This window comes from Homo sapiens, chromosome 1 (genome assembly GCF_000001405.40).
Source record: "Homo sapiens chromosome 1, GRCh38.p14 Primary Assembly".
Classification (NCBI taxonomy): domain Eukaryota; kingdom Metazoa; phylum Chordata; class Mammalia; order Primates; family Hominidae; genus Homo; species Homo sapiens.
Genome location: NC_000001.11, coordinates 123075713 through 123090780, shown reverse-complemented (window position 1 = coordinate 123090780; position 15068 = coordinate 123075713). Strand labels below are relative to the sequence as shown.

Here is a 15068-nt window from a genome sequence, read left to right as displayed (position 1 = left end):
TCCTAACTGCTCTATGAAAAGAAAGGTTAAACTCTGTGAGTTGAACGCACACATCACAAAGGAGTTTCTGAGAATCATTCTGTCTAGTTTCTATAGGAAGATATTTCCTATTCTACCATTGACCTCAAAGCGGCTGATATCTCCATTTGCAAATTCCACAAAAAGAGTGTTTCAAGTCTGCTCTGTGTAAAGGATCGTTCAACTCTGTGAGTTGAATACACACAACACAAGGAAGTTACTGAGAATTCTTCTGTCTAGCAGAATATGAAGAAATCCCGTTTCCAACGAAGGCCACAAGATGTCAGAATATCCACTTACAGAATTTACAAACAGACTGTTTCCTAACTGCTCTATGAAAAGAAAGGTTAAACTCTGTGAGTTTACGGAACACCTCACAACGCAGTTTGTGGGAATGATTCTGTCTAGTTTTGAAACGAAGATATTTCCTTTTCTGCCATTGACCTTAAAGCGCTTGAAATCTACACTTGCAAATTGCACAAATAGAGTGTTTTAAATCTGCTCTGTCTAAGGGAACGCTCAAATCTGTGAGTTGAATGCACACAACACAAGGAAGTTACTGGGAATTCTTCTGTCTAACCTTACATGACAAAAACCCGCTTCCAACGAAGGCCTCTAAGTGGTCAAAATATCCACGTGCAGACTTTACAAACAGAGTGTTTCCAAACTGCTGAATGAAAAGAAAAGTTAAACTCTGAGCGCTGAAGGCACACATCGCAGAGCAGTTTCTGAGAATGATTCTGTCTAGTTTTTATACGAAGATATTTCCTTTTCTGCCTTCGGCCTCAAAGCGCTTGAAATCTCCACCTGCAAATTCCAGAAAAAGAGTGTTTCAAATCTGCTCTGTCTAAATGAAAGTTCAACTCTGTCAGTTGAATACACACAACAAAAGGAAGTTACTGAGAATTCTTCTCTCTAGCATAATATGAAGAAATCCCGTTTCCAACGAAGGCCTCAAAGAGGTCTGAATATCCACTTGCAGACTTTACAAACAGAGTGTTTCCTAACTGCTCTATGAAAAGAAAAGTTAAACTCTTTGAGTTGAACGCACACATCACAAAGGAGTTTCTGAGAATCATTCTGTCTAGTTTTCCTACGAAGATATTTCCTTTTCTACTATTGACCTCAAAGCGGCTGAAATCTCCACTTGCAAATTCCACAAAAAGAGTGTTTCAAGTCTGCTCTGTGTAAAGGATCGTTCAACTCTGTGAGTTGAATACACACAACACAAGGAAGTTACTGAGAATTCTTCTGTCTAGCAGAATATGAAGAAATCCCGTTTCCAACGAAGGCCACAAGATGTCAGAATATCCACTTACAGAATTTTCAAACAGACTGTTTCCTAACTGCTCTATGAAAAGAAAGGTTAAACTCTGTGAGATGAACGAACACATCACAACGCAGTTTTTGGGAATGATTCTGTCTAGTTTTGAAACGAAGATATTTCCTTTTCTGCCATTGACCTCAAAGCGCTTGAAATCTCCACTTGCCAATTGCACAAAAAGAGTGTTTCAAATCTGCTCTGTCTAAGGGAACGTTCAACTCTGTGAGTTGAATGTACACAACACAAGGAAGTTACTGGGAATTCTTCTGTCTAGCCTTACATAAAAAAACCCGTTTCCAACGAAGGCCTCTAAGTGGTCAAATTATCCACGTGCAGACTTTACAAACAGAGTGTTTCCAAACTGCTGAATGAAAAGAAAAGTTAAACTCTGAGAGTTGAACGCACACATCGCAGAGCAGTTTCTGAGAATGATTCTGTCTAGTTTTGAAACGAAGATATTTCCTTTTCTGCCTTTGGCCTCAAAGCGCTTGAAATCTCCACTTGCAAATTCCACAAAAAGAGTGTTTCAAATCTGCTCTGTGTAAATGGAAGTTCAACTCTGTGAGTTGAATACACACAACACAAGGAAGTTACTGAGAATTCTTCTGTCTAGCATAATATGAAGAAATCCCGTTTCCAACGAAGGCCTCAAAGAGGTCTGAATATCCACTTGCAGACTTTACAAACAGAGTGTTTCCTAACTGCTCTATGAAAAGAAAGGTTGAACTCTGTGAGTTGAACGCACACATCACAAAGGAGTTTCTGAGAATCATTCTGTCTAGTTTCTATAGGAAGATATTTCCTATTCTACCATTGACCTCAAAGCGGCTGAAATCTCCACTTGCAAATTCCACAAAAAGAGTGTTTCATGTCTGCTCTGTGTAAAGGATCGTTCAACTCTGTGAGTTGAATACACACAACACAAGGAAGTTACTGAGAATTCTTCAGTCTAGCAGAATATGAAGAAATCCCGTTTCCAACGAAGGCCTCAAGGAGGTCTGAATATCCACTTGCAGACTTTACAAACAGAGTGTTTCCTAACTGCTCTATGAAAAGAAAGGTTAAACTCTGTGAGTTGAACGCACACATCACAAAGGAGTTTATGAGAATCACTCTGTCTAGTTTCTATAGGAAGATATTTCCTATTCTACCATTGACCTCAAAGCGGCTGAAATCTCCACTTGCAAATTCCACAAAAAGAGTGTTTCAAGTCTGCTCTGTGTAAAGGATCGTTCAACTCTGTGACTTGAATACACACAACACAAGGAAGTTACTGAGAATTCTTCTTTCAAACAGAATATGAAGAAATCCCGTTTCCAACGAAAGCCTCAAGGATGTCTGAATATCCACTTGCAGACTTTACAAACAGAGTGTTTCCTAACTGCTCTATGAAAAGAAAGGTTAAACTCTGTGAGTTGAACGCACACATCACAAAGGAGATTCTGAGAATCATTCTGTCTAGTTTTGAAACGAAGATATTTCCTTTTCTGCCATTGACCTTAAAGCGCTTGAAATCTCCACTTGCCAATTGCACAAAAAGAGTGTTTCAAATCTGCTCTGTCTAAGGGGAACGTTCAACTCTGTGAGTTGAATGTACACAACACAAGGAAGTTACTGGGAATTCTTCTGTCTAGCCTTACATGCAAAAAACCCGTTTCCAACGAAGGCCTCTAAGTGGTCAAAATATCCACGTGCAGACTTTACAAACAGTGTGTTTCCAAACCGCTGAATGAAAAGAAAAGTTAAACTCTGAGAGTTGAACACACACATCACGCAGCAGTTTCTGAGAATGATTCTGTCTAGTTTTTATCCGAAGATATTTCCTTTTCTGCCTTTGGCCCCAAAGCGCTTGAAATCTCCACTTGCAAATTCCACAAAAACAGTGTTTCAAATCTGCTCTCTCTAAATGAAAGTTCAACTCTGTCAGTTGAATACACACAACACAAGGAAGTTACTGAGAATTCTTCTGTCTAGCCTTATATGAAAAAAACCCGTTTCCAACGAAGGCCTCAAAGAGGTCTGAATATCCACTTGCAGACTTTACAAACAGAGTGTTTCCTAACTGCTCTATGAAAAGAAAGGTTAAACTCTGTGAGTTGAAAGTACACATCACAAAGGAGTTTCTGAGAATCATTCTGTCTAGTTTCTATAGGAAGATATTTCCTATTCTACCATTGACCTCAAAGCGGCTGAAATCTCCACTTACAAATTCCACAAAAAGAGTGTTTCAAGTCTGCTCTGTGTAAAGGATCGTTCAACTCTGTGAGTTGAATACACACAACACAAGGAAGTTACTGAGAATTCTTCTGTCTAGCAGAATATGAAGAAATCCCGTTCCCAACGAAGGCCACCAGATGTCAGAATATCCACTTACAGACTTTACAAACAGAGTGTTTCCTAACTGCTCTATGAACAGAAAGGTTAAACTCTGTGAGTTGAACGAACACATCACAACGCAGTTTGTGGGAATGATTCTGTCTAGTTTTGAAACCAAGATATTTCCTTTTCTGCCGTTGACCTAAAAGAGCTTGAAAACTACACTTGCAAATTGCACAAATAGAGTGTTTCAAATCTGCTCTGTCTAAGGGAACGTTCAACTCTGTGAGTTGAATGCACACAACACAAGGAAGTTACTGGGAATTCTTCTGTCTAGCCTTACATGAAAAAAACCCGTTTCCAACGAAGGCCTCTAAGTGGTCAAAATATCCACGTGCAGACTTTACAAACAGAGTGTTTCCAAACTGCTGAATGAAAAGAAAATTTAAACTCTCAGAGTTGAACGCACACATGACAGAGCAGTTTCTGAGAATGATTCTGTCTAGTTTTTATACGAAGGTATTTCCTTTTCTGCCTTTGGCCTCAAAGCGCTTGAAATCTCCACTTGCAAATTCCACAAAAAGAGTGTTTCAAATCTGCTCTGTGTAAATCAAAGTTCAACTCTGTGAGTTGAACACACACAACACAAGGAAGTTACTGGGAATTCTTCTGTCTAGCATAATATGAAGAAATCCCGTTTCCAACGAAGGCCTCAAAGGGGTCTGAAAATCCACTTGCAGACTTTATAAACAGAGTGTTTACTAACTGCTCTATGAAAAGAAAGGTTAAACTCTGTGAGTTGAACACACACATCACAAAGGAGTTTCTGAGAATCATTCTGTCTAGTTTTTCTACGAAGTTATTTCCTTTTCTACTATTGACCTCAAAGCGGCTGAAATCTCCACTTGCAAATTCCACAAAAAGAGTGTTTCAAGTCTGCTCTCTGTAAAGGATCGTTCAACTCTGTGAGTTGAATACACACAACACAAGGAAGTTACTGAGAATTCTTCTGTCTAGCAGAATATGAAGAAATCCCGTTTCCAACGAAGGCCTCAAGGAGGTCTGAATATCCACTTGCAGACTTTACAAACAGAGTGTTTCCTAACTGCTCTATGAACAGAAAGTTTAAACTCTGTGAGTTGAACGAACACATCACAACGCAGTTTGTGGGAATGATTCTGTCTAGTTTTTATAGGAAGATATTTCCTTTTCTACTTTGACTTCAAAGCGGCTGAAATCTCCACTTGCAAATTCCACAAAAAGAGTGTTACAAGTCTGCTCTGTGTAAAGGATCGTTCAACTCTGTGAGTTGAATACACACAACACAAGGAAGTTACTGAGAACTCTTCTGTCTAGCCTTACATGAAAAAAACCCGTTTCCAACGAAGGCCTCTAAGTGGTAAAATTATCCACGTGCAGACTTTACAAACAGAGTGTTTCCAAACTGCTGAATGAAAAGAAAAGTTAAACTCTGAGAGTTGAACGCACACATCACAGAGCAGTTTCTGAGAATGATTCTGTCTAGTTTTTATACGAAGATATTTCCTTTTCTGCCTTTGGCCTCAAAGCGCTTGAAATCTCCATTTGCAAATTCCACAAAAAGAGTGTTTCAAATCTGCTCTGTGTAAATGAAAGCTCAACTCTGTGAGTTGAACACACACAACACAAGGAAGTTACTGGGAATTCTTCTGTCTAGCATAATAGGAAGAAATCCCGTTTCCAACGAAGGTCTCAAGGAGGTCTGAATATCCACTTGCAGACTTTACAAACAGAGTGTTTCCTAACTGCTCTATGAAAAGAAAGGTTAAACTCTGTGAGTTGAACGCACACATCACAAAGGAGTTTCTGAGAATCAATCTGTCTAGTTTCTACAGGAAGATATTTCCTATTCTACCATTGACCTCAAAGCGGCTGAAATCTCCACTTGCAAATTCCACAAAAGGAGTGTTTCAAGTCTGCTCTGTGTAAAGGATCGTTCAACTCTGTGAGTTGAATACACACAACACAAGGCAGTTACTGAGAATTCTTCTGTCTAGCAGAATATGAAGAGATCCCGTTTCCAACGAAGGCCACAATATGTCAGAATATCCACTTACAGACTTTACAAACAGAGTGTTTCCTAACTGCTCTATGAACAGAAAGGTTAAACTCTGTGAGTTGAACGAACACATCACAACGCAGTTTGTGGGAATGATTCTGTCTAGTTTTAAAACGAAGATATTTCCTTTTCTGCCGTTGACCTTAAAGCGCTTGAAATCTACACTTGCAAATTGCACAAATAGAGTGTTTCAAATCTGCTCTGTCTAAGGGAACGTTCAACTCTGTGAGTTGAATGCACACAACACAAGGAAGTTACTGGGAATTCTTCTGTCTAGCCTTACAAGAATAAAACCCGTTTCGAACGAAGGCCTCTAAGTGGTCAAAATATCCACGTGCAGACTTTACAAAGAGAGTGTTTCCAAACTGCTGAATGAAAAGAAAAATTAAACTCTGAGAGTTGAATGTACACATCGCAGAGCAGTTTCTGAGAATGATTCTGTCTAGTTTTGAAACGAAGATATTTTCCTTTTCTGCCTTTGGCCTCAAAGCGCTTGAAATCTCCACTTGCAAATTCCACAAAAAGAGTGTTTCAAATCTGCTCTGTGTAAATGAAAGTTCAACTCTGTGAGTTGAACACACACAACACAAGGAAGTTACTGGGAATTCTTCTGTCTAGCAGAATATGAAGAAATCCCGTTTCCAACGAAGGCCTCAAAGGGGTCTGAATATCCACTTGCAGATTTTACAAACAGAGTGTTTCCTAACTGCTCTATGAAAAGAAAGGTTAAACTCTGTGAGTTGAACGCACACATCACAAAGGAGTTTATGAGAATCATTCTGTCTAGTTTTTATACGAAGATATTTCCTTTTCTACCATTGACCTCAAAGCGGCTGAAATCTCCACATGCAAATTCCACAAAAAGAGTGTTTCAAGTCTGCTCTGTGTAAAGGATCGTTCAACTCTGTGAGTTGAATACACACAACACAAGGAAGTTACTGAGAATTCTTCGTGTCTAGCAGAATATGAAGAAATCCCGTTTCCAACGAAGGCCTCAAGGAGGTCTGAATATCCACTTGCATACTTTACAAAACAGAGTGTTTCCTAACTGCTCTATGAACAGAAAGGTTAAACTCTGTGAGTTGAACGAACACATCACAACGCAGTTTGTGGGAATGATTCTGTCTAGTTTTGAAACGAAGATATTTCCTTTTCTGCCATTGACCTTAAAGCGCTTGAAATCTCCATTTGCCAATTGCACAAAAAGAGTGTTTCAAATCTGCTCTGTCTAAGAGAACGTTCAACTCTGTGAGTTGAATGTACACAACACAAGGAAGTTACTGGGAATTCTTCTGTCTAGCCTTACATGAAAAAAACCCGTTTCCAACGAAGGCCTCTAAGTGGTCAAAATATCCACGTGCAGACTTTACAAACAGAGTGTTTCCAAACCGCTGAATGAAAAGAAAAGTTAAACTCTGAGAGTTGAACGCACCCATCACGCAGCAGTTTCTGAGAATGATTCTGTCTAGTTTTTATACGAAGATATTTCCTTTTCTGCCTTTGGCCCCAAAGCGCTTGAAATCTCCACTTGCAAATTCCACAAAAACAGTGTTTCAAATCTGCTCTCTCTAAATGAAAGTTCAACTCTGTCAGTTGAATAAACACAACACGAGGAAGTTACTGAGAATTCTTCTGTCTAGCATAATATGAAGAAATCCCGTTTCCAACGAAGGCCTCAAGGAGGTCTGAATATCCACTTGCAGACTTTATAAACAGAGTGTTTACTAACTGCTCTATGAAAAGAAAGGTTAAACTCTGTGAGTTGAACACACACATCACAAAGGAGTTTCTGAGAATCATTCTGTCTAGTCTTTATACGAAGATATTTCCTTTTCTACCACTGACCTCAAAGCGGCTGAAATCTCCACTTGCAAATTCCACAAAAAGAGTGTTTCAAGTCTGCTCTGTGTAAAGGATCGTTCAACTCTGCGAGTTGAATACACACAACACAAGGAAGTTACTGAGAATTCTTCTGTCTAGCAGAAAATGAAGAAATCCCGTTTCCAACGAAGGCCACAAGATGTCAGAATATCCACTTACAGACTTTACAAACAGAGTGTTTCCTAACTGCTCTATGAACAGAAAGGTTAAACTCTGTGAGTTGAACGAACACATCACAACGCAGTTTGTGGGAATGATTCTGTCTAGTTTTGAAACGAAGATATTTCCTTTTCTGCCATTGACCTCAAAGCGCTTGAAATCTCCACTTGCCAATTGCACAAAAAGAGTGTTTCAAATCTGCTCTGTCTAAGGGAACGTTCAACTCTGTGAGTTGAATGTACACAACACAAGGAAGTTACTGGGAATTCTTCTGTCTAGCAGAATATGAAGAAATCCCGTTTCCACTGAAGGCCACAAGATGTCAGAATATCCACTTACAGAATTTACCAACAGAGTGTTTCCTAACTGCTCTATGAAAAGAAAGGTTAAACTCTGTGAGTTGAACGAACACGTCACAACGCAGTTTGTGGGAATGATTCTGTCTAGTTTTTATACGAAGATATTTCCTTTTCTGCCTTTGGCCCCAAAGCGCTTGAAATCTCTACTTGCAAATTCCACAAAAACAGTGTTTCAAATCTGCTCTCTCTAAATGAAAGTTCAACTCTGTCAGTTGAATACACACAACACAAGGAAGTTACTGAGAATTATTCTGTCTAGCAGAATATTAAGAAATCCCGCTTCCAACGATGGCCTCAAAGAGGTCTAAATATCCCCTTGCAGACTTTACAAACAGAGTGTTTCCTAACTGCTCTATGAAAAGAAAGGTTAAACTCTGTGAGTGGAACGCACACATCACAAAGGGGTTTCTGAGAATCATTTTGTCTAGGTTCTATAAGAAGATATTTCCTATTCTACCATTGACCTCAAAGCGGCTGAAATCTCCACTTGCAAATTCGACAAAAAGAGTGTTTCAAGTCTGCTCTCTGTAAAGGATCCTTCAACTCTGTGAGTTGAATACACACAACACAAGGAAGTTACTGAGAATTATTCTGTCTAGCATAATATGAAGAAATCCCTTTTCCAAAGAAGGCCTCAAGGAGGTCTGAATATCCACTTGCACACTTTACAAACAGAGTGTTTCCTAACTGCTCTATGAAAAGAAAAGTTAAACTCTGTGAGTTGAACGCACACATCACAAAGGAGTTTCTGAGAATCATTCTGTCTAGTTTTGAAACGAAGATATTTCCTTTTCTGCCATTGACCTTAAAGCGCTGGAAATCTACACTTGCAAATAGCACAAATAGAGTGTTTCAAATCTGCTCTGTCTAAGGGAACGTTCATCTCTGTGAGTTGAATGCACACAACACAAGGAAGTTACTGGGAATGCTTCTGTCTAGCCTTACATGAAAAAAAACCCGTTTCCAACGAAGGCCTCTAAGTGGTCAAAATATCCACGTGCAGACTTTACAAACAGAGTGTTTCCAAACTGCTGAATGAAAAGAAAAGTTAAACTCTGAGAGTTGAACGCACATATCACAGAGCAGTTTCTGAGAATGATTCTGTCTAGTTTTTATACGAAGATATTTCCTTTTCTGCCTTTGGCCTCAAAGCGCTTGAAATCTCCACTTGCAAATTCCACAAAAAGAGTGTTTCAAATCTGCTCTGTGTAAATGAAAGTTCAACTCTGTGAGTTGAACACACACAACACAAGGAAGTTACGGGGAATTCTTCTGTCCAGCAGAATATGAAGAAATCCCTTTTCCAACGAAGGCCTCAAAGAGGTCTGAATATCCACTTGCAGACTTTACAAACAGAGTGTTTCCTAACTGCTCTATGAAAAGAAAGGTTAAACTCTGTGGGTTGAACGCACACATCACAAAGGAGTTTCTGAGAATCATTCTGTCTAGTTTTTATAGGAAGATATTTCCTTTTCTACCTTTGACTTCAAAGCGGCTGAAATCTCCACTTGCAAATTCCACAAAAAGAGTGTTACAAGTCTGCTCTGTGTAAAGGATCTTTCAACTCTGTGAGTTGAATACACACAACACAAGGAAGTTACTGGGAATTCTTCTGTCTAGCAGAATATGAAGAAATCCCGTTTCCAACTAAGGCCACAAGATGTCAGAATATCCACTTACAGAATTGACAAACAGACTGTTTCCTAACTGCTCTATGAAAAGAAAGGTTAAACTCTGTGAGTTGAACGAACACATCACTACGCAGTTTGTGGGAATGATTCTGTCTAGTTTTGAAACGAAGATATTTCCTTTTCTGCCGTTGACCATAAAGCGCTTGAAATCTACACTTGCAAATTGCACAAAGAGAGTGTTTCAAATCTGCTCTGTCTAAGGGAACGTTCAACTCTGTGAGTTGAATGCACACAACACAAGGAAGTTACTGGGAATTCTTCTGTTGAGCATAATAGGAAGAAATCCCGTTTCCAACGAAGGCCTCAAAGAGGTCTGAATATCCACTTGCAGACTTTACAAACAGAGTGTTTCCAAACCGCTGAATGAAAAGAAAAGTTAAACTCTGAGAGTTGAACGCACGCATCACGCAGCAGTTTCTGAGAATGATTCTGTCTAGTTTTTATACGAAGATATTTCCTTTTCTGCCTTTGGCACCAAAGCGCTTGAAATCTCCATTTGCAAATTCCACAAAAACAGTGTTTCAAATCTGCTCTCTCTAAATGAAAGTTCAACTCTGTCAGTTGAATACACACAACAGAAGGAAGTTACTGAGAATTCTTCTGTCTAGCATAATATGAAGAAATCCCGTTTCCAACGAAGGCCTCAAAGGGGTCTGAATATCCACTTGCAGACTTTACAAACAGAGTGTTTCCTAACTGCTCTATGAAAAGAAAGGTTAAACTCTGTGAGTTGAACACACACATCACAAAGGAGTTTCTGAGAATCATTCTGTCTAGTTTCTATAGGAAGATATTTCCTATTCTACCTTTGACCTCAAAGCGGCTGAAATCTCCACTTGCAAATTCCACAAAAGGAGTGTTTCAAGTCTGCTCTGTGTAAAGGATCGTTCAACTCTGTGAGTTGAATACACACAACACAAGGAAGTTACTGAGAATTCTTCTGTCTAGCAGAATATGAAGAAATCCCGTTTCCAACGAAGGCCACAAGATGTCAGAATATCCACTTGCAGACTTTACAAACAGAGTGTTTCCTAACTGCTCTATGAACAGAAAGGTTAAACTCTGTGAGTTGAACGAACACATCACAACGCAGTTTGTGGGAATGATTCTGTCTAGTTTTGAAACCAAGATATTTCCTTTTCTGCCGTTGACCTTAAAGAGCTTGAAAACTACACTTGCAAATTGCACAAATAGAGTGTTTCAAATCTGCTCTGTCTAAGGGAACGTTCAACTCTGTGAGTTGAATGCACACAACACAAGGAAGTTACTGGGAATTCTTCTGTCTAGCCTTACATGAAAAAATCCCGTTTCCAACGAAGGCCTCTAAGTGGTCAAAATATCCACGTGCAGACTTTACAAACAGAGTGTTTCCAAACCGCTGAATGAAAAGAAAAGTTAAACTCTGAGGGTTGAACGCACACATCACGCAGCAGTTTCTGAGAATGATTTCTGTCTAGTTTTTATACGAAGATATTTCCTTTTCAGCCTTTGGCCCCAAAGCGCTTGAAATCTCCACTTGCAAATTCCACAAAAACAGTGTTTCAAATCTGCTCTCTCTAAATGAAAGTTCAACGCTGTCAGTTGAATACACACAACACAAGGAAGTTACTGAGAATTCTTCTGTCTAGCATAATATGAAGAAATCCCGTTTCCAACGAAGGCCTCAAAGAGGTCTGAATATCCACTTGCAGACTTTACAAACAGAGTATTTCCTAACTGCTCTATGAGAAGAAAAGTTAAACTCTGTGAGTTGAACGCACACATCACAAAAGATTTTCTGAGAATCATTCTGTCTAGTCTTTATACGAAGATATTTCCTTTTCTACCATTGACCTCAAAGCGGCTGAAATCTCCACTTGCAAATTCCACAAAAAGCGTGTTTCAAGTCTGCTCTGTGTAAAGGATCGTTCAACTCTGTGAGTTGAATACACACAACACAACGAAGTTACTGAGAATTCTTCTGTCTAGCAGAATATGAAGAAATCCCGTTTCCAACGAAGGCCACAAGATGTCAGAATATCCACTTATAGAATTTACAAACAGACTGTTTCCCAACTGCTCTATGAAAAGAAAGGTTAAACTCTGTGAGTTGAACGCACACATCACAATGAAGTTTCTGAGAATCATTCTGTGTAGTTTTGAAACGAAGATATTTCCTTTTCTGCCATTGACCTTAAAGCGCTTGAAATCTCCACTTGCCAATTGCACAAAAAGAGTGTTTCAAATCTGCTCTGTCTAAGGGAACGTTCAACTCTGTGAGTTGAATGTACACAACACAAGGAAGTTACTGGGAATTCTTCTGTCTAGCCTTACATGAAAAAAACCCGTTTCCAACGAAGGCCTCTAAGTGGTCAAAATATCCACGTGCAGACTTTACAAACAGAGTGTTTCCAAACCGCTGAATGAAAAGAAAAGTTAAACTCTGAGAGTTGAACGCACACATCAAGCAGCAGTTTCTGAGAATGATTCTGTCTAGTTTTGAAACGTAGACATTTCCTTTTCTGCCTTTGGCCTCAAAGCGCTTGAAATCTCCATTTGCAAATTCCACAAAAAGAGTGTTTCAAATCTGCTCTGTGTAAATGAAAGTTCAACTCTGTGAGTTGAACACACACAACACAAGGAAGTTACTGGGAATTCTTCTGTCTAGCCTTATATGAAAAAAACCCGTTTCCATCGAAGGCCTCAAAGAGGTCTGAATATCCACTTGCAGACTTTACAAACAGAGTGTTTCCTAACTGCTCTATGAAAAGAAAGGTTAAACTCTGTGAGTTGAACGCACACATCACAAAGGAGTTTCTGAGAATCATTCTGTCTAGTTTTGAAACGAAGATATTTCCTTTTCTACCATTGACCTCAACGCGGCTGAAATCTCCATTTGCAAATTCCACAAAAAGAGTGTTTCAAATCTGCTCTGTGTAAATGAAAGTTCAACTCTGTGAGTTGAACACACACAACACAAGGAAGTTAATGGGAATTCTTCTGTCTAGCAGAATATGAAGAAATCCTGTTTCCAACGAAGGCCACAAGATGTCAGAATATCCACTTACAGAATTTACAAACAGACTGTTTCCTAAGTGCTCTATGAAAAGAAATGTTAAACTCTGTGAGTTGAACGAACACATCGCAACGCAGTTTGTGGGAATGATTCTGTCTAGTTTTGAAACGAAGATATTTCCTTTTCTGCCATTGAACTTAAAGCGCTTGAAATCTCCATTTGCCAATTGCACAAAAAGAGTGTTTCAAATCTGCTCTGTCTAAGGGAACGTTCAACTCTGTGAGTTGAATGTACACAACACAAGGAAGTTACTGGGAATTCTTCTGTCTAGCCTTACATGAAAAAAACCCGTTTCCAACGAAGGCCTCTAAGTGGTCAAGTTATCCACGTGCAGACTTTACAAACAGAGTGTTTCCAAACTGCTGAATGAAAAGAAAAGTTAAACTCTGAGAGTTGAACGCACACATCGCAGAGCAGTTTCTCAGCATGGTTCTGTCTAGTTTTTATACGAAGATATTTCCTTTTCTGCCTTTGGCCTCAAAGCGCTTGAAACCTCCATTTGCAAATTCCACAAAAAGAGTGTTTCAAATCTGCTCTGTGTAAATGAAAGTTCAACTCTGTGAGTTGAACACACACAACACAAGGAAGTTACTGGGAATTCTTCTGTCTAGCACAATATGAAGAAATCCCGTTTCCAACAAAGGCCTCAAAGAGGTCTGAATATCCACTTGCAGACATTACAAACAGAGTGTTTCCTAACTGCTCTATGAAAAGAAAGGTTAAACTCTGTGAGTTGAACGCACACATCACAAAGGAGTTTCTGAGAATCATTCTGTCTAGTTTCTATAGGAAGATATTTCCTATTCTACCATTGACATCAAAGCGGCTGAAATCTCCACTTGCAAATTCCACAAAAAGATTGTTTCAAGTCTGCTCTGCGTAAAGGATCATTAAACTCTGTGAGTTGAATACACACAACACAAGGAAGTTACTGAGAATTCTTCTGTCTAGCAGAATATGAAGAAATCCTGTTTCCAACGAAGGCCACAAGATGTCAGAATATCCACTGTCAGACTTTACAAACAGAGTGTTTCCTAACTGCTCTATGAACAGAAAGGTTAAACTCTGTGAGTTGAACGAACACATCACAACGCAGTTTGTGGGAATGATTCTGTCTAGTTTTGAAACGAAGATATTTCCTTTTCTGCCATTGAACTTAAAGCGCTTGAAATCTCCATTTGCCAATTGCACAAAAAGAGTGTTTCAAATCTGCTCTGTCTAAGGGAACGTTCAACTCTGTGAGTTGAATGTACACAACACAAGGAAGTTACTGGGAATTCTTCTGTCTAGCCTTACAGGAAAAAAACCCGTTTCCAACGAAGGCCTCTAAGTGGTCAAAATATCCACGTGCAGACTTTACAAACGGAGTGTTTCCAAACTGCTGAATGAAAAGAAAAGTTAAACTCTGAGAGTTGAACGCACACATCGCAGAGCAGTTTCTGAGAATGATTCTGTCTAGTTTTTATACGAAGATATTTCCTTTTCTGCCTCTGGCCTCAAAGCGCTTGAAATCTCCACTTGCAAATTCCACAAAAAGAGTGTTTCAAATCTGCTCTGTGTAAATCAAAGTTCAACTCTGTGAGTTGAACACACACAACACAAGGAAGTTACTGGGAATTCTTCTGCCTAGCAGAATTTGAAGAAATCCCGATTCCAACGAAGGCCTCAAAGAGGTCTGAATATCCACTTGCAGAATTTACAAACAGAGTGTTTGCTAACTGCTCTATGAAAAGAAAAGTTAAACTCTGTGAGTTGAACGCACACATCACAAAGGAGTTTCTGAGAATCATTCTGTGTAGTTTTTATAGGAAGATATTTCCTTTTCTACCATTGACCTCAAAGCGGCAGAAATCTCCACTTGCAAATTCCACAAAAAGAGTGTTACAAGTCTGCTCTGTGTAAAGGATCGTTCAACTCTGTGAGTTGAATACACACAACACAAGGAAGTTACTGAGAATTCTTCTGTCTAGCAGAACATGAAGAAATCCCGTTTCCAACGAAGGCCTCAAAGATGTCTGAATATCCACTTGCAGACTTTACAAACAGAGTGTTTCCTAACTGCTCTATGAAAAGAAAGGTTAAACTCTGTGAGTTGAACGCACACATCACAAAGGAGTTTGTGAGAATCATTCTGTCTAGTTTTTATAGGAAGATATTTCCTTTTCTA

General features: G+C 39.2%; 1 annotated feature.

Annotated features, from left to right (window-relative positions):
- Window positions 1-15068: part of a centromere (Linear centromere model derived predominantly from reads generated in PMID: 17803354. This region does not represent an actual centromere sequence, as long-range ordering of repeats and unmapped WGS contigs is not provided by the model. For details of model production, see http://arxiv.org/abs/1307.0035.) that runs on past both edges of the window.